The sequence below is a fragment of the Homo sapiens genome, chromosome 10, assembly GCF_000001405.40.
Source record: "Homo sapiens chromosome 10, GRCh38.p14 Primary Assembly".
Taxonomy (NCBI): domain Eukaryota; kingdom Metazoa; phylum Chordata; class Mammalia; order Primates; family Hominidae; genus Homo; species Homo sapiens.
The window spans coordinates 80,576,450-80,604,149 of NC_000010.11; the positions used below are offsets into that span (position 1 = coordinate 80,576,450).

The 27,700-nt window shown below is 45.8% G+C and overlaps 1 protein-coding gene across 3 annotated transcripts in view, besides 1 other annotated feature; it reads left to right on the top strand.

Annotated features, from left to right (window-relative positions):
* SH2D4B (SH2 domain containing 4B) overlaps nt 1-27,700 on the top strand; it is a 108,659-nt gene that overhangs the window by 38,548 nt on the left and 42,411 nt on the right. For all 3 annotated transcript variants that reach the window (NM_001388272.1, NM_207372.2, NM_001145719.1), the window contains exons 4-5: nt 12,181-12,328; nt 27,130-27,346. In NM_001388272.1, the coding sequence (NP_001375201.1) occupies nt 12,181-12,328; nt 27,130-27,346 (365 nt within the window). The remainder of the gene's footprint in view (nt 1-12,180; nt 12,329-27,129; nt 27,347-27,700) is intronic.
* Nucleotides 10,231-10,431: a silencer, noted in NCBI's record as "peak1027 fragment used in MPRA reporter construct". NCBI's record gives its function as "represses an SCP1 promoter by STARR-seq MPRAs in K562 erythroleukemia cells {active_cell/tissue: K562}" and the evidence as "EXISTENCE:reporter gene assay evidence [ECO:0000049][PMID:32103011]".

Below are 27,700 nucleotides of genomic sequence, written 5' to 3' on the forward strand. Positions count from 1 at the left end.
GGCACTATCTGTTAGCAACATTAGAACAAGTACTGTGCAGTTGAATGGTCCAGGTTCATGAGCTGAGATATCTTCTGTTTGCTCTGCCTGTAAGTGCACTGCCCTTTTGCTGTGTGGAACTCTTCATCACAGGAAATAGTTAAGCCTAGGCTAAAACATGATCTGAAAGGTTTCTGTGGTAGGTTAAATGGGATTTGCGGCAAATTGTTTGCCCCTCCTCCCTTTGAGAGGTAGGATCTATTCCCCCTCCCTTTTTGGCTGCGCCAGCCTTATGACTAGCTGTGATGTGTAGAATGCAGTAGTAATGACTGATATAACTTTTTAATTTTTTAATCCGAGATGGAGTCTCACTCTGTTGCCCAGGCTGGAGTGCAGGGACATGATCTTGGCTCACTGAAACTTCTGCCTCCTGGGTTCAAGTGATTCTCCTGCTTCAGCCTCCCAGGTAGCTGGGATTACAGGTGCACACCACCACACCCAGCAATTTTTTGTAGTTTTAGTAGAGACAGGTTTCACCATGTTAGCCAAGTTGGTCTCGAACTCCTGACCTCAAGTGATCTGCCTGCCTCAGCCTCCCAAAGAGTTGGGATTACAGGCATGAGCCACTGCGCCTGGACTGATACAACTTTTGAGGAAAGACTATAACGGAGCTGAAGTTTCTACTTTTCCCTCTCTTGCGATGCTCATTTTTGGAAGCTGTCCTATAAGAATCCCTACTACCCTACACTACACACTGTAAGGAAACCCAAGTTAGCCATGCAGAGAGGAAGAGGCTACATGGAGAGGCACTGATCCACCAGACACATGAGCAAAGCCTTGGTTCTGCCAGCCCATCCCAGTGAATGACCCCAACCAAATGATTGACCTCAATTGATACCAAGTGGTGCAGAAGAGCCACCCAGCCAAGCCCTTCCTGAATTATTAACCTGCAGAATCATACACAAATAAAATGGTAGTTGTTTTAGACCACTGAATTTTCTGTTTTTTTTTTTTTTGAGACGGAGTCTCGCTCTGTCGCCCAGGCTGGAGTGCAGTGGCGCAATCTCAGCTCACTGCAAGCTCCACCTCCCAGGTTCATGCCATTCTCCTGCCTCAGCCTCCCAAGTAGCTGGGACTACAGGTGCCTGCCACCACGCCCGGCTAATTTTTTGTATTTTTAGTAGAGACGGGGTTTCACCATGTTAGCCAGGATGGTCTTGATCTCCTGACCTTGCGATCCACCCGCCTCAGCCTCCCAAAGCGCCGGGATTACAGGTGTGAGCCACAGCGCCCGGCCTTTTTTTTTTGTATTTTTAGTAGGGACGGGGTTTCACCGTGTTAGCCAGGATGGTCTCGATCTCCTGACCTCGTGATCTGCCTGCCTCGGCCTCCCAAAGTGCTGAGATTACAGGCGTGAGCCACCACGCCTGGCCTTAGACCACTGAATTTTCTGGTAATTTGTTACTCAGCAGTAGACAACCAAAAACAGCTTCACCAAGGGATTTATGCATTGGGTTAGAGATTGGCTTAGATAATTTTTTTTCTTTCTTTTTTTTTTTCGAGACAGGGTCCGGCTCTGTTACCCAGGCCAGAGTGCAGTGGCACAATCTCAGCTCACTGCAACCTCCGTCTCTTGGACTCTAGCCATCGTCCCACTTCAGCCCCCCAAGTAGCTGGGACTACAGGGATGCACCACCATACCTGGCTAATTTTTGTATTTTTTGTAGCGATGGGGTTTTGCCATGTTGCCCAGGCTCATCTGGAATTTCTGAGCTCAAGCAATCCGCCCATGTCAACTTTCCAAAGTGAGATAATTTTTACTGTGTCTTTCAACAGTAGGGTTCTAACATTCTGAGTCTTGCTTGTAGGAATGTACCAACAACCTTCATTTAATACTCTCTTTTTTTCCTGAGAACCTAAGGGGAGGCTGTTTGTTGTGGGGGAGGAGGGGAGAAATAAACTACCAGCTCTCAAAAGCTTACAGGGTGCCAGGGGAGAGAGAGACAACTCCATGAGCAACCCTTAGTGCCAACCACACCCCGGGGAGTATAATGGAGGGCAGAGGAGTAACTTTAGAGGTCTGGGCATGAGCAAGCACAAGAGATGGAAAGGAGAACTGTAGAATGATGAATGGTCTGCTGGAAGGAGAGAGAAAAAGTTCATGATGGATGGAGCCAGACATACGCCTGGAAAGGAGGTAGGGTGTGAAGCTCTTAAATGCTACATTAAGGGGGTGGACTTTCCTCTGTGGGCAAAGCAGGATCTTGATACAAAGAAGGATGTGGTCAGATGAAGTTTTAGGAGCACCACTGATGGCAATGATGTGATTCAAGTGATGAGTTTTCAGGCAAGGAGACTAGTTAGGAGATTTTTGCAATGGTCAAGGCCAATGAGCAAGGGTCTGGACAGAGTCTATGACAACGAGGAAGGAGAGAAGGGATGGATATAGCAAAATGGTGGTGGTGAAATCAATAGGGCTTGGCATCAATTAGATGTTGGGATGAGGGAAAGCAAAGAGCAAAGACATCCAAGTCCCAAGCTGGGAGATGAGGAGATGGCAGCACCATCCCACCATGGGGAGCTGGGGAGGGTGTGCAGATTTGCAGGAAAGAGAAAGTGCTTAGATTGACTGCATTGAGGGATTTTTACCCCACAGAGAAGGGAGATAGGTGGAGGCTGGAGGAGAGGTGAGAGCTTGGGTGAAAAGCCTGGTGATGGAGAGAGATGGGCTGGGCTCACTTTCTGCAGCTCATGTTGAGGATGTAGGCAGGTTCTGCTAATTCTCCAGGTCATGGAAAAGGTAATAATGACAACTGCATTCTGAAAATGGAAAAAAAAATCCCAGAATCTTTATATTGGGTTACAGAGGGAACTCTGAAGATGAGACAGCTGGAAACCGGTTTTTAAAAACCATTCTGCTGTGGCTGGTGCCATTTGAATGTAATTTACATGCATATAAAAGTGTTCCTTTAGAAAAAAGGAGATCCTGAGGCCAGATAAAATTTGCATTTATTTCCCCCGTGCTTTCTTAACTCCTAAAATTGCTTCTGGACATTTCTCCTTCTGTTCAAGACCACAGAACACGGCTCAATAAACATCCTGTGCTCTTCTTCCACCCCGGGGTCCTGTGACCTTCCTTCTCTGCTTGCAATCTCCCTCCCTCCTCCCACTCCCACCTCTTCCTGGTTTTACTCTTAACGAACAGACATGGTTGATTCTGTTCAGTTGTTTATTAATTTTTTTTCCATTTTCTATTCAAGGCCACTCCCTTTTTTTTTCTCCTTTAAGTTTGGAGTTCCTTTTGGCCACCTAATGAACTCCTATACAACTTTAGAAACGATTACTGCTTTATTTCCAATAAGATTAGAAGTGGTGGGAAAATTTTCTACTTCTCAATTTTCTCTTGAAAATTTTAGACTTTACCAGAACTTCTCTAGGCAAGGCTGACGCCGACAAAACAACATGATGTGGTGTACCCTGTCCCTCCCGGGGATCATCACAAACCCTGTCTTCTCTTTACCTGTTTGATAACTCATTCACTTCTCTGGTCAGCATTTATGGAGCACCTGATATCTGCTATGTCCTGTGCTGTGAACTGGCAATGGAGGAATGAACAGCATAGGTTTGGTTCTGCTTTTTTGGAGTGCTTCAGCTCACTGTGGTGTTATTGGGGCCAGACTAACAACAAAAATGAGGATGCCTTTGTCACCTGAAAAATGATGAGGTTCATAAATTTGGAAAGGGGAGCTTTATATCTCCTAAAGGGTTGCAGCCTGCAGGTGGCTATTTTGACAGGCTGGGAAGCCCAGCTTCTGGTCAGAAGCTGGTAGCAGGCACTTTGAGGCAGGGAAGAATGAGACAGGAGTTTATGCTGACCAGGTTAGCTGAGTCTACATATTACAATTAGACCCTATACATCAAAAGGCAAAGCAGAGGGCGTGAAGGCCCTTAGGGTACATCCTCTGTAGACTGGCCAGAACTACTCTGTGGTCGGTGGTCTCTTATCAGGAAGGAAGGCTGGTCAGTTGTTGTGTCAAAACCATGAAAAGGGAGGGGCAGCATCAGGCTGTTGGTTGATATCAGTCTTTCAAAAGGGCTGGTTTCTATTTAGTCCTTAGGGAAGAAAGCCTAATGGTGGTTACTGAGGCAAGTCTGATCTCCTCTCCCATCATGGCTGGGAACTCAGTTTTTAAAGTTTCTCATGAGTCCCCTTGGCCAAGAAAAGGTCTGTTCCATTGCTTAGGGGGCCTAGGATTTTAAAAAATTTTTCACTTTCTAGAAAAGGCATTTGTCTTGATGACATTTTCCACAGGATTCTGGCAGACCCTGGCCTCTGTGGGTTCCTGTGGTGTGCTGTTACTGATGGGTTATGAGGAGAAGGGAGATTGAATAAGCTGGACAGCTCAGAGGGCTTTGGGCAGCCAGAGCAAGGCGATTAATTCCTAGGCAGCAGGGGAGTCTTTGCGTGTCTGGCCTTTTGGCTGCTAAACCTCAGAAAAATGGGCTTTTCTTTCAGTGGTATTAGATGGCTCAGAGAATTCTGGTAGTTGCAACAGCAATGAGAATTTTTAGGCAATTTCAGCTTTGAGCGTTATTTTAGCAAGACCATGTGTAATGCAACAGTAGTTGCAAAATGTTTTCCTTTGTCGTCCCCATCCTTGTGAAGAGCTTTCCTTTATCACAGTAAATGGCCAGTCATTTTCCTCTGAGATGGGCGGTTGCTGTAGGCCTCTGGTTCCCTGGGTGGTGTCCTACTCTCCAGGTGAAGAAGAACTGATTGAACATGGCCCTACAATTTAACTTGCTGCTTCCTTTTAGTCACAGCCAGTTGAAGTAGGAACATTGCATTGTAATCTGAGGTGGTTAAGGGCCACTTATCCACCATAGGCCAGTCAGACACTTATCCACTGTGTGCCAGTCATTTCCTGGGCTCCAATCTCCTTGTTATGGGCTGAATTATGTCCCTGCTAAAATCCGTATTTTGAAGTCCTAATCCCCGGGACCTCAGAATGTAACTATATTTGGAGATAAGCTCTTTACACAGGTAATTCAGTTAAAATGAGATCGAGTGGGTTAGACCCTACTCCAATATGACTGCTGTCCTTATAAAAAGGGAGATTTGGACACAGACGGGCACACACTCAGAGGGAAGGCTGTGAGTGACACAGCAAGAAGGCAGCCAGCCAAGGAGAAGGGCCTCAGCACGAAGCCAACCCTGCCACACCTTGACTTTGGATTGCAGCCTCCATGATTGAGGAAATAGAGTTCTGTCATTTAAGCCTCCTCAATCTGTGGTACTTCGTTATGGCGGCCTGAGCAAATTGATACACTCCTTATCTGCACAAGGAAGTGGCAGCATGCAGTTGATGTCCCTCTGGCTCTGACAGGCCTTGACTGTATTCTTCCTGACACCTGCTCCTGCCTGGAAGACCCCAGTGGGTCAGGGGTGGGTCCTTTGGTATACTTCAATAGATCAACAAGCAGATAAAAGGAGATAACTGTGCATTTTTACTCCTTTGTTTTAAAAATGACAAGATTTTTGTTCCTTCTGACCTGACATAGACTGGGGACTTTTCTCCAATTCAATGATTAATTTTTTAATGCTAAAAGTAGACAAAATTCCGATTTCCTTATGACCCACTCTCTAAGAGTTGGGAATTAAGGGCTAAAGAAGGTAAGTGACTTCTTCTAATTGTTCACCAAATACTTTTTCATCTGTTTTTTCCAGGCTACCACCTCCCTCCCTCTGGCCAGAAGAAGAGGGAAAGTTGAAAGGGAAACGCTGGGGTGTTGGGGTATCAGGCAGAGTGAAGGGAGCAGGAGGGAAACGGGGAGATTAAGGAAAGGTCTGAATTCTGAATGGTGGGACCTGCAGCCAGGGTTGCCCCTAGGGTGTACAGAGTTGGCAAATATTTCTTTGTGCAGTCTTTGTTTATATTAAAAATCCGAGTCACATAAAATCAGCCTTTTAGCACTATTCTGGTGACCCAATCTCATGTGATCCTCTGCTAAAAATACTGTGCTGGCAAGGGCTTCATCTGGTTGCTAGGCTACCCTTCTGGAACCAGGACCCCCGCACTGGGGCCCAGGGTGACTTCATAAATAGGAATCCTGGAGTTCCTTGGGATATCTGCTCAATCTCTTGATGAGGGATATGGTCAGAGAGCACCCTGAAGGAAAGAAACAGGGAGTCGGGCTCATGTAGAACCTATTCTGGGCCTGGGGCACCTTACCTGGACAACACCACCTGCCCTTACCATTCCTGGGGGGACTAACTATTTCTGGCCACTCCTGAGGGGAGACTTGAGGAAATTTACAAGAAGGTGCTTTAAAGCATGGGTTTCTGTGAAGCATGGGGCTCAGGCCAGGGGCCCTGCTTGCTGCAGGCAGTCCTGCTTGCAGCCTGCTCCCCTCCAATTCCTGGAATGCTGGGGGTGATACCACCCAGGAAGGACAGAGAAGGCACTGAATAATCTCAGAGGAGGGGCCTCTAGATACTTACATCTGAGGGTCCTGCAACATGGCTGGTTCCTCCTACGATTGCCCTAGAGCAAAGTCCTCCTCTCAATGAAGCCTGGAGCATGCTCTCTGAGTTTCCTACTCAGATATTTACTTCTCTCTTGAATATGAATAGTCAGGGAACATCAGACTGCCGAGAAAAACCTTTCACATGTATGACAGGCACCAAATCAAACGAACTTAAACCATACTCGCACACAGAGGAAACAGACCTAAATCAGAGCACATGGGAAGAAAATGCCCTAAAATCCTCAGAGAAATGAGTTATTGCATTCATAAAACAAGTGCAAGATGCAATGAAGAGAAAAGAACAACCAAAGAATAAGAATGAGAGCTTGGAAATTACACGTGATAGCTGAAATAAAAAACTCAGTAGAAGGTTTGGAAGATAAAGTCGATGAAATCAACCAGGAAGTAGAAGAAAAAAGACAACAGATGGAGCCGGGCGCGGTGGCTCACACCTGTAATCCCAGCACTTTAGGAGGCTGAGGCGGGCGGATCACCTGAGGTTGGGAGTTCAAGACCAGCCTGACCAACATGATGAAACCCGTCTCCACTAAAAATACAAAAATTAGCCAGGGGTGGTGGCATGCGCGCCTGTAATTCCAGCTACTCGGGAGGCTAAGGCATGAAAATTGCTTGAACCTGGGAGGTAGAGGTTACAGTGAGCCAAAATCGTGCCACTGTACTCCAGCCTGGGTGACAGTGAGACTCTGTCTCAAAAAAATAAAAAAGACAGATGGAGAGCAAGAGAGGAAAATGATAAGGCAGTTAGAAGATAAACTCAAGAAGACCATTATTTGACAAATAGGAGCTCTATAAGGAAAAACAAGAAATTAGAAGAGAAGAAATTATCAAAGAAATGCTAAGCAAAGATGTATTAGACTGGAAAGATAAGAGACTACAGACTGAAAGTACCCCCAAGTGGCCAACACAATCAACGCAAGAAAATCCACACCAAGGCACATCATATTAAAAAGTTCAGAACATTGGTGTTAAAGAGACTTCAGGGGCTTCCAGAGAGAAAAATAAATGCCTTGTGCAGAAGAATGAGAATCAGATTGGTAGTTCTGGATGATAGAAGACAAGGAAGTCTTTAACATTCTGCAGGAAAATGATTTTTAATCAAATTCTGTGCTCAGCTAAATTGGCAGTTACATGTAAATGTGGCATATAGACATTTCCAGACAAGACTCAGAAAGTGTCTCTATGCATTCTTAGCTGAGAAGTGTTAAATGCTGCTGCAAAATGGCAGAGTGGTCAAGAAAGAAACAGGGGCTCCAACTCAAGGAAGGTTGAGAGGTGTGCCATTTGTAGGTGGATGGAGAGGAGGCTTAGGTGGTAACCAGTGCAGATGGGAGAAGAAAAGATGGCACCCGGGGTAGTGTGTCCTTTGGAAAAAGATAACTTTTGTATTGTCTGTTATAAGAAAAAGCACTTGGTTAAACACAGAGAATGATTTACTACATCTGAGAAAACTTTGGGAAAATTCAATATTCAGCTTCAAGATGTATTAACCCAGGAAAAACCAGAAAAAATGACTGGAAAGAAAAGGCTTCCATACCTGTCATATTTTACTGAATTTAAGTTACCTTTAATAGCAAAACATATCATTATTTAAGAGGATAAAAGTGTTGCTTATTAAAAAGCAAGCTGTAAGTTTTAAAACATCCAAATTTCAGAGATGTTACAAGGTTAAAAAAATGTACTTTTTGGAACTGATGAAAATAGCACCCTATTTGGCTTTGCAGTAAACTATTTTGATGCTGATTATTGACTTAACTACAGATTATGAGGCAAATTTATTATGAGGCTGAGGAGAGAAAAAGTATGGTGTATGGATGTTCACCTGTGGGAAATATAAGTGCTAAATATGCATGTGCCAAAAAAGAAAGGCAAGATTTAACATCTAGATTGATAACTTGATAAATCAAGGATTAGCAGCATTAATCAGACACATGGACGTAGCCAAGCAAAGGAACAGCTAACATAGTTGAAAATGGTGGCCTCCAGGCATTGGTTTAATTAAGGCTGGTTGGATTGGGTTCTGGTGAAGCTATTTAGAGACTGCTGATTTTCATTAGAAGCCTGTGTTTCATAATGTATGTTTAACACATACATGTTACTTTGATGTAAACAAAGGTAGAAGAAAATACACACAGGTATAACTTTTTTAGAGCTCAGGAGTGGGACAGAAATGGGAAATTTAGGGACCCCAAATCTCTCTCTCTGAGACTTTATCCAGACTTAAGGTTAAGACATAATCATACCCTGCTTCACTGGCTTTCAGGAAGAGACCAGACACCTGTCCCTGTGTCTTCCCTCCCTCTTCCTCCAAAATGAAAGTACACCTAAGGATGGCACAGACTCCTCTTTTTCTTTTTTTTTTTTTTGAGATGGAGAGTCGCCCAGTCTAGAGTGCAATGGCGTGATCTCAGCTCACTGCAACCTCCACCTCCCGGGTTCAAGTGATTCTCCTGCCTCAGCCTCCCAAGTAGCTCGGATTACAGGTGCATGCCACCATGCCCGACTAATTTTTGTATTTCTTAGTAGAGACGGGGTTTCACCATGTTGGCCAGCTGGTCTCAAACTCCTGACCTCAGGTGATCTGCCTGCCTTGGCCTCCCAAAGTGCTGGGATTACAGGCGTGAACCACCGCGCCCAGCCAGGATGGCAGAGTCCTCTTACCTCTGCAGTAAGATGTGGAGTTTACACTTTGTTCCACGTATTTCTTTTTTCTTTCTTTCTGAGAGGTGACAGCGTGCTAGCAGCCCTCACAGCCCTCGCTCACTCTGGGCACCTCCTCTGCCTGGGCTCCCACTTTGGCGGCACTTGAGGAGCCTTTCAGCCCACCGCTGCACTGTAAGAGCCCCTTTCTGGGCTGGCCAAGGCCAGAGCCGGCTCCTTCAGCTTGCAGGGAGGTGTGGAGGGAGAGGCACAAGCAGGAACCGGGGCTGCACGTGGCGCTTGCGGGCCAGCTGGATTTCTGGGTGGGCGTGGGCTAGGTGGCCCCACACTCGGAGCGTCGAGCCGGCCCCGCCAGCCCGGGCAATGAGGGGCTTAGCACCCAGGCCAGCAGCTGCGGAGAGTGTGCTGGGTCCCCCAGCAGTGCCGGCCCAGCGGCACTGCACTTGATTTCTCAGGGGGCCTTAGCTGCCTCCCCGTGGGGCAGGGCTCGGGACCTGCAGCTTGCCATGCCTGAGCCTCCCCCTCCTCCATGGGCTCCTGTGCCGCCGAGCCTCCACGACGAGCGCCGCCCCCTGCTCCATGCCGTCCAGTCCCATCAACCACCCAAGAGCTGAGGAGTGTGGGCGCACGGCGTGGGACTGGCAGGCATCTCCACCTGCGGCCCTGGTGCGCGATCCACTGGGTGAAGCCAGCTGGGCTTCTGACTCTGGTGGGGACTTGGAGAACCTTTATGTCTAGCTAGGGGATTGTAAATACACCAATCGGCACTCTGTATCTAGCTCAAGGTTTGTAAACACACCTGTCAGCACCCTGTGTCTACCTCAGGGTTTGTGAATGCACCAATCGACACTGTATCTAGCTACTCTGGTGGGGGCTTGGAGAACCTTTGTGTCCACACTCTGTATCTAGCTAATCTGGTGGGGACGTGGAGAACCTTTGTGTCTAGCTCAGGGATTGTAAACGCACCAATCAGTGCCCTGTCAAAACAGACCACTGGGCTCTCTGTAAAATGGACCAATCAGCAGGATGTGGGTGGGGCCAGATAAGAGAATAAAAGCAGGCTGCCCCGAGCCAGCAGTGGCAACGGGCTGGGATCCCCTTGCCGCTGTGGAAGCTTTGTTTTTTCACTCTTTACAATAAATCTTGCTGCTGCTCACTCTTTGGTTCCACGCTGCCTTTATGAGCTGTAACACTCATAGTGAAGGTCTGCAGCTGCACTCCTGAAGCCAGGGAGACCACGAACCCACCGGGAGGAACGAGCAACTCCAGACGCACTGCCTTAAGAGCTGTAACACTCACCGCGGAGGTCCGCAGCTTCACTCCTGAGCCAGCGAGACCACGAACCCACCAGAAGGAAGAAACTCCGAACACATCCGAACATCAGAAGGAACAAACTCCGGATATGCCACATTTAAGAACTGTAACACTCACCTCGAGGGTCCGCGGCTTCATTCTTGAAGTCAGTGAGACCAAGAACCCACCAATTCCGGCCACGTTTTTTTTTTTTTTTGTTTTGTTTTTTTTTTTTTTTTTGGAGACGCCCAGGCTGGAGTGCAGTGGCGCGATCTCGGCTCACTGCAACCTCTGCCTCCTGGGTTCAAGCCATTCTCGTGCCTCTTGAGTAACTCTTGTTTTTGTTGTTGTTGTTGTTGTTTTTTCTTTGAGATGGAGTTTTGCTCTTGTTGCCCAGGGTGGAGTGCAGTGGTGCGATCTCAGCTCACTGCAACCTCCTCCTTCCGGTTCAAGCGATTCTCCTGCCTCAGCCTGCCTAGCAGCTGGGATTACACACATGCGCCACCATGCTGGGCTAATTTTGTATTTTTAGTAGAGACGGGGTTTCTCCATGTTGGTCAAACTGGTCTCAAACTTCTGACCTCAGGTGATCCGCCTGCCTTGGCCTCCCAGAGTGCTGGGATTACACGCGTGAGCCACGACGCCCAGCTTTTTTTTTTCTTTCTAAACTTTTATTTTAGATTCCAGAGGTGCATGTGCAGGTTTGTTACAAGGGTATATTGTGTGATGCTGAAGTAAGGGTTACGATTGAACCCATGATCTAGGTAGTGAGCATATTACCCAAGAGGCACTTTTTTAGTCATTCCCCGTCTCCCTGTCTCCCACTTGCAGTAATCCCCAGTGTCTGTCATTCCTGTCTTTATGTCCATGAGTACCCAGTGTTTAGCTTCCACTTATAAGTGAGAACATGCAGTGTTTGGTTTTCTGTTTCTGTGTAGGTTCACTTACTATAATGGCCTCCAGATGCATCTATGTTACTGCAGAGGACGTGACTTCATTCTGTTTTATGGCTGTGTAGTATTCTGTGGCATTCCACCTGTTTCAACCCATTTTCTCCTCACCACCACCTTGTCAGTTAAGTTAGGTGGCACGATCACCACCACTTTATTACTAAAACACCAGGGTTCCATCCAGGTCCTACTGCTTGCGGCACAGAAAGTCAATCACCTAGATGATGAGTATTGCCAAGGAAGAAGGCTTTAATCAGGTGCTGCAGCTGAGGAGATGGGAGCTCAGCCTCAAATCCATCTTCATCTCCCTAACTGACTATAACTAGAGGTTTGTGTAGCAGGTAAGAAATATAACAATGTGTAAGAAAACAGAAACTAGGGAGGAGTTAGGAAGCAATCATCTCATTGAGGGGTCAGGCATCTCATAGTCTGGTTGTGGTGATCTGGTGAGTTTCAGTAATTTGATACTTTTTGAGAGGCCTGAGGGATCCTTTCCTGAGGAAGCAATTCAAATAAAACAAATATAAGTTTCAAGCTTTAAGACCAGAAGTGATAATTTTTGCGTTTATCCAAAAACAACTGTCTATGGGAGTACTGGGTAATTTCAATTTCATACATGTAGGGACTGAGGCTGGAGAGGCCACTGCTGCACTCTCAGCCCCATCCACTGCAGAATCCCAGAGATATTTCTTTCTCGTTTCTCTGAAGTGTTGTGGTCATCTCGTGTTGTTCTGTTCCCATGACATTTTAGAGGAAAGAGGAAGAGGAGAGGAAGCGAGGAGAAGAGCAGATTCGCCTCCAGGAAGAGCAGAGGGCGAAGGAGCTCTACTGGACCCTGAAGCAGGCTCAGCTGCATTGCCAAGCCAGTGAGAAAGAGGAGCGAGAGTGGGAAGAACAGTGTGAGTAGAGCTTGTGCCTCAGGCAGGGAGACCAGTCCCGCCTCCCCACCCACCTCCTCCCAATGCTGATGTACTCATTCGTCATTTCCATTCGCTCACTCACCCCATCAGCCTTTACTTGGACCCGGCCATGTGCTCAGTCCTGCTAAGAATTTAGAGGGTAAGTTAGGCTTCATCCTTGAAGAGCTTACCTGCCTGTTGGGGATATTTCTTTTTCTTTTTCTTTTTTTTTTTGTTCTTTTTTGAGACGAAGTCTTGCTCTGTCGCCTAGGCTGGAGTGCAATGGTGCGATCTCAGCTCACTGCAACTTCTGTCTCCCAGGTTCAAGTGATTCTCCTGCCTCAGCCTCCCAAGTAGCTGGGATTACAGGCACCCGCCACCAAGCCCAGCTAATTTTCGTATTTTTAGTAGAGACGGGGTTTCACCAGGTTGGCCAGGCTGGTCTCAAACTCCTGACCTCAGGTGACCCACCTGCCTCGGCCTCCCAAAGTGCTGGGATTACAGGCGTGAGCCACCACTCCCAGCTGGGGATATTTCTTGTATTAAAAAAATAAAAGCCTAGCCTGGGCAATATAGTGAGACCCTGTCTCTACAAAAAAATAAGAAGTATTAGCTGGGATTGGTGGTGGCATGTGCCTGTAGTCCCAGCTACTCGGGAGGCTGAGGTGGGAGGATTGCTTGAACCCAGGAGGTCGAGGCTGCAGTGAGCCATGATTGTGCCACAGCACTGCAGCCTGGGTAACAGAGTGAGACCTTGTCTCATATTCTACCTTTACTAAGTTGCCAATAATTTCCTGGCTCTGTGCTAAGCCCTAGGGATCCAGGGATGAGGAATCACGGTGCTCATCCTGTAGAAACTCATCAACAAGAGCAGCAGACAGATATATAGACTAAGGGCTTGAAGGGAGGATGTAGCACATACAACATAGTTGTCCTGGTGGGTCTGCAGAAGAGGTGTCATGAAGTGAGGCTTGCTGGTGACACAGGAATAAGCAAGTCAAAAAGGCTGGGAAGGGCACTGTAGGTAGAGGCTCCAGCATGGGCAAAGGCTTGGTGACAAAGGAACACGGAATGCCTGGGAAGTGTGGGGTGGTGAGAGTTTGGGGAGTGTCAGGTTCGCAAGAAGCTAGGTGGGGAAGGGAAGGTGGAACTAAGTTTGGAGGGTGGTGCTTCCCTATGTACCTGGGATTTGTTTTATTTGGGTATGGTAAGACATGCAGGCCCAGAAATGACACTTGTAAAGGAAGACGTTTTTACTCACAGGTCCCTAGAGACAGGAGGCACGGCAGGCCATGCAGGGCCACATGGGGAAGCCCCAGGGTGGGTCAGGAGGCAGAGGGAGTGGGGGAAAACATGGGCAAGAGTGTTTATTGTGATTTCCTGGGGAAAGGTAAGGGGAGGCAGGCTAGGCAGGCTTCGGATTGGCCAGTGTAAATAACTAAACTGAGCTCTTGGGTGTAGGGGCTGTCTCTAGTTTTGCATCATCTGGCAGTGGGGTGATTAAGGCAGGGAGACAGTGGCTCAGAGTGTGAAAGCCCAACAAGGGAGGTAGTTGTATGGGCTTCTGACTGAATGGTTTGCATATGAAGGTGCACTTGTGGGCAAGCCCTTTACTGTCCCTACGAATTGGCTATTCCTGGGAGGGGCAATCTCTCCAGAATCAGAAAGGCCTCAGATGTCAAAAAATCAGAAAATACAGAAAATGAAAAGGCATGATTAATACACGTGGACAGTGGGAAACTTCCAAAGGCTAGTGACGCGATCTGGCAGGGTTTTGGGAAGAGAGCAAGGAGGAGGCTGTTGTGATGGTACACTTGACTGATGATTGCAACTGGGGCCATACAGGGAGAGCAGAGATGTGAGGTGTCTTCTACTGGCCAGCCTTCTGGTCCTCAGCATGTCTTAATCTTATGCCAGATTCATTAAATAGACTTGAAAATGGAGATACAACTTACATACCATAAAATTTAGCCTTTTAAAGTGTACAATTTAGTGGTTTTTAGTATACTCAAAAAGTTGTGCAATCATCGCCACTAATTCCAGAATATTTCTGTCACTTCAAAAAGAAACTCTGTACCGATTAGCAGTTACTCCTTCCCCCACCATATCCCTGGAAGTTACTCATCAATTTCTGTCTCTAGATTTGCCTATGATGGACATGCTACAACATGAATGGACCTTGAAAACATTGTGCTAAGTGAAGTCAGACACCAAAACATTATGTGGCTTTTGGTGTCTGACTTTGCTTAGCACAATGTTTTCAAGGTCCATTCATGTTGTAGCAGATATCATTCCTTCCTTCCATTTTATGATTGAATAATATTCTAATGTACGCATATACCACATTGTTGTTTGTCCACTTAACAGTTGATGAACATTTGGGTTGTTTTCACTTTTTGGCTATTTTGAATAATGTTGCTATGAACATTTATGTACACGTTTTTGTGTGAACATATATTTTCAATTCTCTTGAGTATTACCTATATGCCTAGGAGTGCAGTTTCTGGGTCATATGGTATCTTAGTCTTCTATTTTTATAACTGAATATCTGAGACTGAGTGACTTACAAAGAAAATAAATCTATTTCTTATAGTTCTGGAGGCTGGGAAGTCTGAGATTGAGGGGCTGAGTCTGGTAAGGGCCTTCTTGCTAGTGGCGACTCTTCAGAGTCCCGAGGCAGTGGAAGGCATCACATGGAGATGGAAGGTACACTAAGAGCCAAACTGGCTTTTTTTTTTTTTTTTTTTGAGTCGGAGTCTTGTTCTGTCACCCAGGCTGGAGTGCAGTGGCGTGATCTCAGCTCACTGCAACCTCTCCCTCCCAGGCTCAAGCAACTCTCCTGCCTCCCTAGTAGCTGGGATTACAGGTGTGTGCCACCACACCCAGTTAATTTATGTAATTTTAGTAGAGACAGGGTTTCATCATGTTGGTCAGGCTGGTCTGGAACTCCTGACCTCAGGTGATCCACCTGCCTTGGCCTTCCAAAGTGCTGGGATTACAGTGTGAGCCACCATGCCCAGTCCAAACTGGCTTTTATACAGGCCTGCTCTCTTGATAGCTAACCAACTCCCATGATGACCCATTAACCCATTAATACATTAATCCATGAAAGGATTAATCCATTCTTGAAGGCAGAGTCTTCATGATCCAATCATCTCTTAAAGGTCTCACCTCTTAACTGCCACACTGTCTTCCAAAGTGACTGCACCATTTTATATCCTTATTAGCAATGTATGAGGGATCTAATTCCTTGACGTCCTTGCCAACCCTTGTAATTTTTTGTGTTTTTTATTATAAAAGCCTTTCTAGTGTGTGTGAAGTGACATCTCATCGTGGTTTTGATTTGCATTTCCTTAATGACTAATGATGTTGAACATTTTAAAAATGTGCTTTATGGCTGTTTATATATCATCTTTGGAGAAATGTCTATTCCAATTATTTACCCATTTTTGAATTTTTGTTGTTGAGTTGCCAGAGTTCACTATATATTTTGGATATTAATTTCTTATCAGAGATATGGTTTGCAAATATTTTCTCATATTCTTTGGAGTTGTCTTTTCACTTTCTTGATAGTCCTTTGAAGCACAAAAAATTTTAATTTTGATGAAGTTCAATGTATCCATTTTTTTGGTTGTTTATGATTTGTGTCTTACCTAAGAAACCATTGCCTAATCCAAGGAAGGTCACACTGGCTTACACCTATCTTTGTTCTAAGAGCTTTATAGGTTTAGCCCTTACATTTAGGTCTTTGATCCATTTTGATTTAATTTTTGTGTGAGGTAGGGTTCCTACTTAATTCTTTTTCATATGGCCATCCAAGTTGTCCAAGCACCATTTGTTGAAAAGACTATTCTTTCTCCATTGGATGGTATTGGAACTCTTGTTGAAAATCAATTCACCAAAAATATGTCTGTTTCTGTACTCTGTCTCTCTGTCTCTTTTTTTTTTTTTTTTGAGATGGAGTCTCACTCTGTCACCCAGGCTGGAGTACAGTGGTGTGATCTCAGCTTACTGCAAGCTCTGCCCTATGGGCTCAAATGTCTATCCTCCCATTTCAGCATCCTGAGTAGCTGGACCACAGGCATGCACCACCATGCCTAGTTTTTTTTTTTCGTATTTTTATTAGAGACAGGGTCTTGCCATGTTGCCCAGTCTGGTCTTGAACTCCTGAGCTTAAACGATCTGCCTGCTTTGGCCTCCCTAAGTGCTGGGATTACAGGCGTCAGCCACCATGCCTGGCCTGTTTCTGTACTTTCAATCCTGTTCCATTGATTTATATGTCTGTTTCTTATGCCAGTATGACATAGTCTCGATTACTGTAGCTTTCTTGTACATTTTGAAATTGGGCAGTATGAGACCTCCATGTTTGTTCTTCTTTTTCAGGATTATTTTGGTTATTCTGAGTCCTTTGTATTTCCATTTCCATTTTAGAATCAGCTTGTCAATTGTTGCAATAAAGGTAGCTGGAATTTTGATAGTGATTACATGAAATCTGTAGATCAATTTGGAGAATATTGCTATCTTAACAATATTTAGTCTTCCAATTCATGATCACAGAATGTCTTTCCATTTATCTAAGTCTTTAAAAATCTCTTTCAATAATATTTTATAGTTTTCAGTGTAGAAGCCTTGCCCTTGTTTTGCTAAGTTTATTCCTAATGGCGTATTCTTTCTGATGCTATTATAAATAGAATAGTTTTCTTAGTTTCATTTTTGGATTGTTTATTGCTAGTGCATAGAAATGCAATTGACTTTTGTATATTGATCTTGTATCCTGTAACCTTACTAGCCTTGTTTATTAGCTGGAATGTATCTTTTTGTGTATTCCTTATGATTTTCTACATACAAGATAATTTCATCTGCAGATAGAGATAGTTTTACTTCTTCCTTTCCAGTTTGGATTCCTTCTATTTTGTTTTCTTACCTAATTGCTCTGGCTAGAACTTCCAATACTATGTTGAATGGAAGTGGCAAAAGGCAGCCCTCTCTTGTTTCTCATCTTAGAGGTAAATTTTTAGTCTTTCACTATTTTGTTTTGTTTTGTTTTTTTGAGACAAGGTCTCACTTTGTCACTCAGGCTGGAGTGCAGTGGCATTATCTCAGCTCACTGCAGCGTCAACTGCCTAGGCTCAAGTGACCCTCCTACCTCAGTCTCCTGAGTAGTTGGGACTACAGATGCACACCACCACATCTGGCTAATTTATATATATATATTTTTAGCGACGGGGTTTTGCCATGTTGCCCAGTCTGGTCTTAAAACTCCTGAGCTCAAGAAGTCTGTCCACCTCGACCTCCCAAAGTTCTGGGATTACAGATGTTAGCCACCATTTAATATGATGTTAGCTGTGGGTTTTCATACATAACCTTGGGTTCAGGAAGTTCCATGCTTTCTTAGATTGTTGGGTGTTTTTATGATGAAAGGGTGTTGGATTTTATCAAATGCTTGTTCTGCATCTGTTGAGATGATCATATGTTTTTTGTTCTTTATTCTATTAACGTGGTGCATTCCATGGCTGAGTTTCATATACTGAGCTAGTCTCACATTCCTGGGATAAATCCCACTTCTTTATAGCATATAATCCTGTTTATATGTTGCTAAATTCCATTTGCTACTATTTTGTTGAGGATTTTGCATCTGTATTCATAAGAGATATTGGTCTGCAGTTTTATTTTCTTTGATGTTTTTGTCTGGTTGTGATGTCAGGGTAATACTAGCCTCAAAGCACAAGTTGGAAAGTGTTCATTCCTCTTCTATTTCTCATGATGAATTTGTAAAGAGGAATTAATTTTTCTTGAAATATTTAGTATAACTCACTAGTGAAGACATCTAGTCCTCGGGTTTCTTTACGGGAATTTTTTTTGATTACGAATTTAGTCTCTTCACTTGTTATGAACCTTTTTCTCTTGAATAAATGCTCACTGAATTCCTGTAGGCCTTTGGTTAATTTCTAACAATCTGAGAAAGTTGGCTCTGAGGATTTTCCAGTGTTTTCATTGTTTTATGGAAGAGAGGATTTTCAGAGGACCTTAATTCACCTTTTCCACTGATACCTTTTTAAGCTGACATATAATTAATTTGGTGCCAGTCCTAAAACACCCAGAACTTCTGGGACAAATCTGGGGCCATAACTGGGCAGTTGGGAAGGTGGATGGGTGGAAAGTATTTAATTTTGTGTTGAATCTTTTTTTATTCCCAGTGACCTAGCATGTAATCAAATGCTGGAAAAGGAATAAACCAAACAGCGTCTAAAAAAAAAATTAAAAAAATTTAAAATTTAATTTTTATTTTGTACAATTTTTGCACCATGAGGCAGTTGCAATTTTTAAGACACCAGTGTTCCTTCTGCTTCTCAGCATTGATGTCTCAATCAGATTTTCTTAGGTCTCTTGGGCCCTGGCAGACCAAGGGCTGTGTGCCCAGGCCCAGAACAGAGATTATCCTGTATGCAGATGCCTCAGAGTAGCAATGCCAGCACAGTGCAGTGCAAGCCTCATCTCTCAACCAGGTCTTCTGTTTCTCTCTCCTAGGGACTTACTGTTGTATTTACAAAAGAGCTTGAAAACTGGGCTGTCTTTGCTCTCCAAGCTCCCTTATGGCTGCTGTTTTCACATATGTTTATGCTGAAGCCCACTAGGTAAAGAAGGTGTGAGCAGCTGGCCCGGGTGAGGAAAGTGAGGGGGCCCATGGTCCCTGGTCCCCTGAATCTTCCCCGCTTCAGGGACCCCTCTGTGAAACCCTTTGGGCTGTGTGTAATATATTTTCAACACTATTGCCCTGGCCTAGTGGCTGCCTTTAGCTTGAGATTATTTTTTCTATTAAGGAAAGTTCCCTTCCTACCTGAGTGACTGCTGCACTCAGAGGCTCTTTGAATCAATGAAAGCCTAAGAGATTGTGCTATTCAGATAAGAGTCAAATCTCAGGCCCACTCCAGCAGTGTAAGCAGGGGACAGACTCCTCTGTCCTCTCCTCCTGGAGTACCAGAGTGGCGAGTCCACCCAGTTCTTCAATCCCTCCTTAATAGCGTGTTCAGGGAGTAGTCCTATCATTGGTTTATGGGAGATGGAAAATGATTGGTTCTCTCTATTTGGAATGAGAATGGAATCACATTATGGAATGCATGTGTATGCAGTTGAAATTACAGTGGGATTTTGCTTTTAAGTCTCCATTCCTTGTTACTTGGGTATTGGTGTGTCCTTGGGCTGGGGAGGGAAATGTGGGTGGGGTCTGTTTATATTCAGGACCATGCCTCCTTTTCTCTGTTGACCTCTTCCAGCCTTGGGACCTGGGTTTCACTGTTACCAGTTACTTCTTCCTTTCAGAGTTAAAATTATACAAATGCAACATTGTGGTCAAAGCTCATTTTTTATCTGGGGCAAGCTCCTAGGCGATGCCTCAGGGGCATACGCTCAGGAGAGAGTGTTCCCCTTGCTCATTGATAACGTCTGGGCAGCTGCTGTTGAACTATTTCATGCCCATTCACACATGGGTTGGAGTTGTTTTAAGAATTGCCAAATACTGCTAAAAACTGTGCCCTCACTAAATTCATCTGAATGCCCCAAACCCTGAGAGTTCACAAAGCCTTAGGACAGTCATTGCTCATGAGCCGAGAACAGCCTCATAGCAGAGCATTGGCATTTCTACTGTGTACTGATAAGGAATCTCAGGCTCAGACTCAATAGGGAGGTCGGGGCATCAGGCGCAAATGAAGGCTTTTCTTTTTCCTTACTCTTGGCCTAGTGTTCTGGCCTGCAGCTTAGGTATCTCCAAAAGCAGCCTGTAGGAGGGATGTCTTTGGTCATTGGCCTCACAGGCCTCCAGGGGTCCATGCACAGGTAGTTCCTCATGGGTTCCGTCCTGTGGAGTTACTGCTGGGCATTCCAAGGACTGCCGAGGGGTGGCTGAGGTTGCGGGAACACTAAGCAGACATTACAGTCTATAACAAGTTTGTTTGAAATAACAGAATAAAGGCAGATGGAGGCTCTATCTTTACTGAAGTTCAGTGCTGGTGCGTAGCTCAACATTGATCTTACTCGCAGAACGTTTCCCTGCAATGCTTCCTCCTGCCGCTTGGGGGAGATGCTTGTCATCTGCACCCAGTTAAGACTGAGGAGCAACAGTATACGCTTGGCCTTCGGTATTCTTGGGTTCTGCATCTGCGGATTCACTCAACCTCTGACAGAAAATATTTGGAAAAAAACAATAAAAAATAACATAACAATAAAAATAAAAATACAGTATAGCAACTATTTACATAGCATTCATATTGTATTAAGTATGATAAGTAATCTAGAGCTGATTTAAAGTATATGGGAGGGTGTGCATAGGCTATACGCAATCCCTACACCATTTTATAAAAGGGGCTTGAGCATTCGCAGATTTTGGTATTCATGAGAGATGGGGAGTGGAGGAGGGGTTTCCTTGAACCAATCCCCTGAGGATGCCGAGGGACAATTGTACATCAATTGAGCTCCTACTGTATGCCAACCATTGTATTAGACATATTTCCTCCCCTCAAAATCTCAGCCTGGAAAAAGAGGCTTACATGCCCGAGTTACAGTTCAATAGGTAGGTGTGCCAACATAGGTTTGTATAAAATACATGGGGAGGCCAGGCACAATGACTCATGCCTGTAATGCCAGGACTTTGGGAGGCTGAGGCAGGTGGATCACCTGAGGTCAGGAGTTTGAGACCAGCCTGGCCAACATGGTGAAACTCCATCTCTACTAAAAATACAAAAATTAGCCAGGCATGGCGGTGTGCACCTGTAATCCTAGCTACTTGGGAGGCTGAGGCAGGAGAATCTCTTGAACCCGGGAGGTGGAGGTTGCAGTGAGCTGAGATCGTGCCATTGCACTCCAGCCTGGGCAACAGAGCGAGACTCCATCTCAAAAATAAATAAAATAAAATAAAATAAAATAAAATACACGGGGAGAGAGTGAATCCCTTTCAGAAGGGAGAGCATTTGGAAAGGCCCTGCAGAGGAAATGGCATTTGGTTCAGGGAAAATGGGTGGGCGAAGAAGGTGGGACAGGGTGTCATAGCAGAGGGAACTGTGTTGAGCAAAGCAAGATCATTGTGTGCATAGGTCATGGCACGTGTTGCAGTGTGGTGGCAGCCTGGGGTTCTGGTGATGAAAAATGAGGCTTGAAAGATAAGATGAGAAAGAGTTTAAAAAGCATTCATTTAAATTCAGGATGAAAGAGGAGGCAGGTGGAAAGAGGAGGCAGAGCAAAGGTTTATACTGACAAAAAATCGTGAACCATTACAAAGTTGTCACCCGAAGCTACTGCAGTGTGTGGGAAGGAGCACTGGACTGGGAGTCCTGTGCTAGCTCTGCCCACTTACTAGTGTGGCCTTGAGCAAGCTCTTGCTCAGTTGCTCAGTTTCCTCATTTGTAAAATGGGGTTAATCATGTTGAGCTGAGGCCTGTTGGGAGGGTGAAATGAGAGAGAGGAAGTAACAGTGCTTTCTAAGTTGTAAAGGTCTGTGTTCATGAAGTGCTCTTCTTTTTTAGCTACACAATGGGACGGAAAGTTAAGAGCAGGGCTGGTTTCTCATTAGGGATGGAGAATGGAAATCGTCTGGCCCAGGAGCTGCTTGATTGCTCATTAATGTACGGTGTGGCAACTGAAAATGGGAAAGCCTCTGAAAACAGAAAAGATGTGATCATTCAGGCCCTGTGGTTTTAGTTCCTCATCTTAGCCTTTCTTAAAGAATGATGAGTTAAACTCCAGAGCCTGTCATTCACATTCAACAAAACCATTCTGCACTCAATTAATTTAATATGAAAGATATAGTGGGCCATTAATCTATGGGGGAGCAGCAGTTTTTGATAAAACACCCAAATTAAATTTTCCAAGTTAGAAAAAAGGGAAATTATCCCATTTAGTATCACTTGAATACCATTAGTTATTCAGTTCAACAGAGAATTCAGTCAGTTATTCAGCAGAGCTCTGGCTTCTGAGACTCTCTGAATACATCAGGCACAGAAATTCATTTCATAGTTTTTCAACTGTGAACTTGTAGGAGTGTGGAGTTAGATAACATCTAGTTGCCCAGAGATTTAGAGATGAGCTAGCCTGACTTGAGAAATGATATTATTTGTAAAAACTGGACATTTATCATTGCTACTGTTACTAGGTTAGAAATGTAAGCAGGACTTTGGAGTTGTCAGAGGGACTTGTGTTCACCTGTGGCTCCTTGACCTGTGTCATTCTGGTTGTGGCCTTTAACCAACAATCTGCACACTGGTTGTCTCACTTCTTGCCAGGTTTTTGACAGAGCGGAGTGGGAAACGTGGGCTCAGGCCCAGGTCAGGGTCCAGTGATATGGGTTCCATTTCCTTTCTTCTTAAAAAGGAGTGCGCACCAGAGTCGGGGTCAGTGATACTAAAATGCTGTAGGCTTGAGACAGGTAGAGCCGGAAGGGGCTAGTGGGGGTAGAGTCTGGGCTGGGAGTGGAGTGGGCACAGCAGAATTTTGGGCTGGGAGGACAGCTGAAGGAGAAGACAGAAGAAGGGCTTTCTCTATCCCTTGATGGGATGGGACATCGTGCAGTTTCTCCTTGGACATAACTGACTTGAAACTCTCCTTGAACTCTAGGTGCCACATATTTTTGGTGTTATAACTCAGAATAATGCTAGCCTGAGCTCCCATGTGGCCGATTAGTGTCCTGCTTAGGGTCCTCTCTCCTCTTGAATTAGCTCAGGAATCCCTGGGGGCTTTATGGTTCCCCAAAGCTGAGTCATTACAACATTCACATGGGTGTGAAGTGCTCTGGTCTTAAGGAACTCCTGCAGTGGCTCCTGGAGGCCACAGGGGGTCACTGTTGGCAGCCATCAGGCGTTGCCCGCAGGCTTCAGGACCACAAGGGTGGTTGGCTGCCGACCTCAGAAGCCTTGGATAAGGGTTGAGAGAGCCCTTTCCCTTGGCCCAAGTTTAGCTGTTGTCGAACTTTGCTTACCTCGTCTTGAGTGCCAAACCCATTCTTCCACCAAGGGACCATGGCTCCAGCAGGCCGAGTCACAAAAGGCCTGTGTGATACCCTTCAGCATCTCGGCTGCCTGTTTTCCCTCCCTAGGGGTCAGAGGCTTTTCCTGCTCACACTTGTTTTTTCCATTCTCTGACAAGAGACCCTGACTCCACACATCTCCTCTGCTCCCACATCACTTCCCCACCTCCACTCAGGGATGGACCCTTTCTAAAGGTGCCATTTCAGCTTCTTTATCTCACAGTAAACACGACAATAACAGATAATATTTAATAAACCTAGCCCATGCCAGGGCTTTCCAAGCCCGCCATGTACTGTCCCATTTACATCTCAGAGCAACCCAGTCAGGCCCCCACTTTATGGACAAGGAAAGAAGGTGTAGATAAGGTAATTCAGGTTGCCCAAGATCACACGGAGCAGAATTTAAACACATGCACTTTCACATACAATTCAAATCTTTACTGATTTCTTTCCCCATATTATAGGATGGTTCATTAATTTTCAGGGACATTGTTCTATTCACCCAAGGGATTACTACAAATTAATGTTGCTTTGAAGCATGGAGTTTCTCTGCAGGATGTAACCGGATCATCTGAATTCTACAGGACACTGAGCTTTTTCTGTCTGGGCAGGGGAGTAGGGTGGGCCTGAGATTTCTGAGCTGACCCGGTTGGTCTGAGTTGGTGAACACAGCTGCACAGAGGCAGGTTTGTAGCTTGGTGGGAGCGTGGTGGAGCTACAGTGCAGAGTGGCATGTGTGTGTGTGTGTGTGTGTGTGTGTGTGTGCTGGGGAAGGAGCCCACTGAGCTGAGAAAGTAAGGAAAGTAGGCAGGGCACTTCTCAGGGCCTTACCTGGCAGGCCAAGGTGTTTGTATTTTCTGTGTGCAGTGGGAGCCACTGAAGGCTTTTGAGGAAGAGAATGGTAAGATTAGAGCTGGGCTTTAGGAGAATGGGTTTAATCTTTGTGTGACAAATGGCTCAAGGCCCCACCTGTCTGAATTCCAAAAACCCGGCTCCCTAGTCTGCATACGATTTCCTTCTGTAGCCTGCCTGCCTGTCTGTCACTGAATGTCACTGTCTCTCAGGGGCTGTAATCTTCCAAAAGTCACGGTCCTTGTAGGGCACGAGCTTCTAGTTTTTAGTTTGCAGTCAAATGTCTGCAAAGCCCATCCCGGGGCATCCTGACCTTGTTGGAGCCTTTCGTCACAATACAAGGCTGGTATCATGGTGTTCTTAGGGTCTGGAACTTACAGACCTCCCTTTTGAGTTTTAGAAGCCGCAACATACGGATGTCTTCTCAGGGCCACTTGGCAGACACAAGGCCCTTCCTTGAGGAACACAAAAAGTGGAAGGCCAGAGAGAGGGGTGTCTTGGAGTCTTGTAACATAAGGAGTGACAAACCACTGAAACCTCAGTTTTCTCTCTGGAATGGCCTCTTCCCTTTTCTTTCTCTGGAAAACTCTTATTGATCTTCCCACACCCAGTCAAATTATTTCCTGTGATGGCTGCTGGCTCCCCAGCAGAATGCGAGGCTGCTGCCCCTAAGCTCTGACAATACTTTATTGGTCTCTTTTTTAAATGATGCTCACTACTTTCTTCATTATGCTAGAGATATTTGTTGGTCTTATTTTCTCAACTTGCCCCTGAGTGCCTTGAAAGAAGGATTTGCTTCACTGTTATCTCTGTATCCAACTCAGGGCCTAGTGCAGCACTAAATACTTAAATTGAGTCCAATCAGTCATACAAAAATACGTATCGCCTGCCGACTGTGTTCTTGGCACTAGAATATAGCAATGAATAGACCAAAGCAAACTCTCCACCTGCCCTCGTGGAGTTCACAGCCTAGTGGATATTCTGTATGGGACACCCATGGGGGCACTTCCATAAATACCTTCTGAGGGACAGACTTCATGCTGCCTTCTTCAGATCTGGGAGATGTTCTGTTCCCAGAAAGGGTTCTTTGACAACTTGTGAAGTAGAAATGCTTTCTTTCAGGAACAGGTCTACTGACCTTTATCCTGCAAATACTCACAGTGCAGTTCTTGGTAGGTGCCTGCTATGCATGTCTTGAGTGGCACTGGAGTAGAAAGAAACTAAGATTTTACTCTGAGAAGAGAAGGTGACTCACTAGGGCTGGGGCATTAGCCTGGTGCAATTAGAAGAACAAGGCCAGCAAGAGGTTTTTTTGCAAAATAGTTGGATTTTAGAGGCAGATAGGGGCCTGCCAAGATGCAGTGAGACTACAAAATAATTGGTTTTAATTCCAGAATTTGCCTCTAATGGGTTTTGTTCCCTTTCCGGCATTTTCCAGGTCCCAGAACTCCCATTTGAGATTTAGAAGCACAGATATCTTTTCAAGGCCACTTGGCTGAGACAGGGCCCTTCCTTGAGGAGCACAAAAAGATGGAAGAGGTCGTGCGTGGGGGTTCACTCTTATAACCCCAGTACTCTGGGGAGGCCAAGGTGGGAGGATTGCTTTAGCACAAGAGTTCAAGACCAGGCTGCACAACATAGTGAAGCCCTGTCTCTACAAAAAATTAAAAAACTTAGATGGGCATGGTGGCGCACACCTGTACTCTCAGCTACTCAGGAGGCTGAGGTGGGAGGATTGCTTGAGTCCAGGAGGTTGAGGTTGCAGTGAGCTGTGATCGCACCACTGCACTCCAGCCTGGGTGACAGAGTGAGACCTTATCTCAAAAAATGAATATATACACATCTATTAATATATGTGTATGTGAAGACAGAGGGCTAGAGAGCGGGGTGTCTTGGAGTCTCGTAAGCTGTTAGAGTTAGCAGAAGATCCTCTTCCCCCTCCCTGCCCACACAGTCACCTACCAGCTCTCAAGGTCATGGGAAACCAAGAAAGGGTTCCAGAACTGGGACACCAGTGTTTCCAACAACTCATCTTGTGGTAGCAGGAAGGACAGTTTCTGGCCTGGTCCATTAACCCAGTTGGGCAAATTGCTGTCCTTCCTTGAGCCTCAGTTTCCACATGAATAACATGAGGAGGTTGGGCCAGATGGTCTTTAAATGCTCCTTTGTTTTTTAGTAGGAAAGAGCTCTGGTGTCAGATACACAGGGTTTTAAATCGAAGGTAGCTGCTTGAGTGGTGGGACCACGGGGTGGAAAGAACAGTGTGGGTTTTAGAGCCAGGCACACCTGGGTTTCTGTCCAGGCTCTGCTCCTTATGAGCTGATTTACTTTGGGCTAGTTACTTAACCTCTCAGAGGCTGGTTTCCTCACCCATAAAGCAGAAATAATGATGTTCCCTGCCTGGGTGGTTGGGGGAAGTCCCTTAGTGAGATAATGCAGGGAAGGCACCAAGCCCAGGGCTTGGCATTGTCAATGTGGGTGACGGTGGTAGTGTCTGGAGATGCTGGCCACCTTGACGGGTGAGCTGAGTGGGCAGAGGATTTGAGGAGCTGCTCTGAGCAGGGCACTCCCAGGAAGAAATAGATAGGGAGATGGAAATTTCCACCCCAAGGTGGCTTGGCCATTCTGGAATGGCGTCACAGGAACAACCAGACAACCCTAAACCGTCAGGGTATCTTTACCTCTGTAGGGACAGGCTTGCCCTAGGGGTGCTGCTAGGGCTGGGCGGGGCCTGCTCTGTCATTCTGGGTTCTGAGCTTCCTTGCAGCCAGGTGAATCCTGAGGTTCCTGGACTATTAGGTTGGTGCAAAAGTCATCGCGATTTTTTGCCACTACATTGCAATTACTTTTGCACCAACCAAATACTTCCTGTCCCAGCTGGCGCAGTGCACCGCCTGGGCTGCGGATCTGGGCTAACGTGCTGTCTTCCTCTTTCCAGTGCGCCGGTCCAAGGCGGCTGATGAGGAGAGGAGCCGCCGAGCCCAGCGCGCCCGGGACGAGTACCGACACCACTCGCTCCGTGCTATCCAGAAGGGCACGGTCGCTGGCCTCAGCTCCATGTTCCGGGAGCTTGGCCAGAGCCATGAGCAGGAGGCAAGACTCTACCACCACCTCCCCGACCCGGGTCTGCCGCAGCCCCTTGCCCTGCCGGTCAGGTGGGTCCAGGCTCCGTGTTGGTGTGGTTGGGGCAAGGGCCTTGGATTAGGGCATGGGACACCGGGGTCCCCGTCCCGGGTCTGCCCCAGATTTGCTGTGTAGTTTGGGGCTAGCATTTCCCCTCTGGACTTCAGCCCTAGTCTAGGGTAGGAGAGGGAGGAGAGATGTGGGAGTTGGAGATTTGTAATAACTTTGGAGTTCTGGGAGCTTTGACCTTTTTAAGGTCAAGGATTCCTTTGAGAATCTGAAGAAAGCGGTGTACCTTCTTCCCCCTCAAATATGCATATATAAAGATCTAGAATGTTTGCATACAATTTGAGACTCTAAGGGCCTCCGGCTAAGAACTTGTAGTG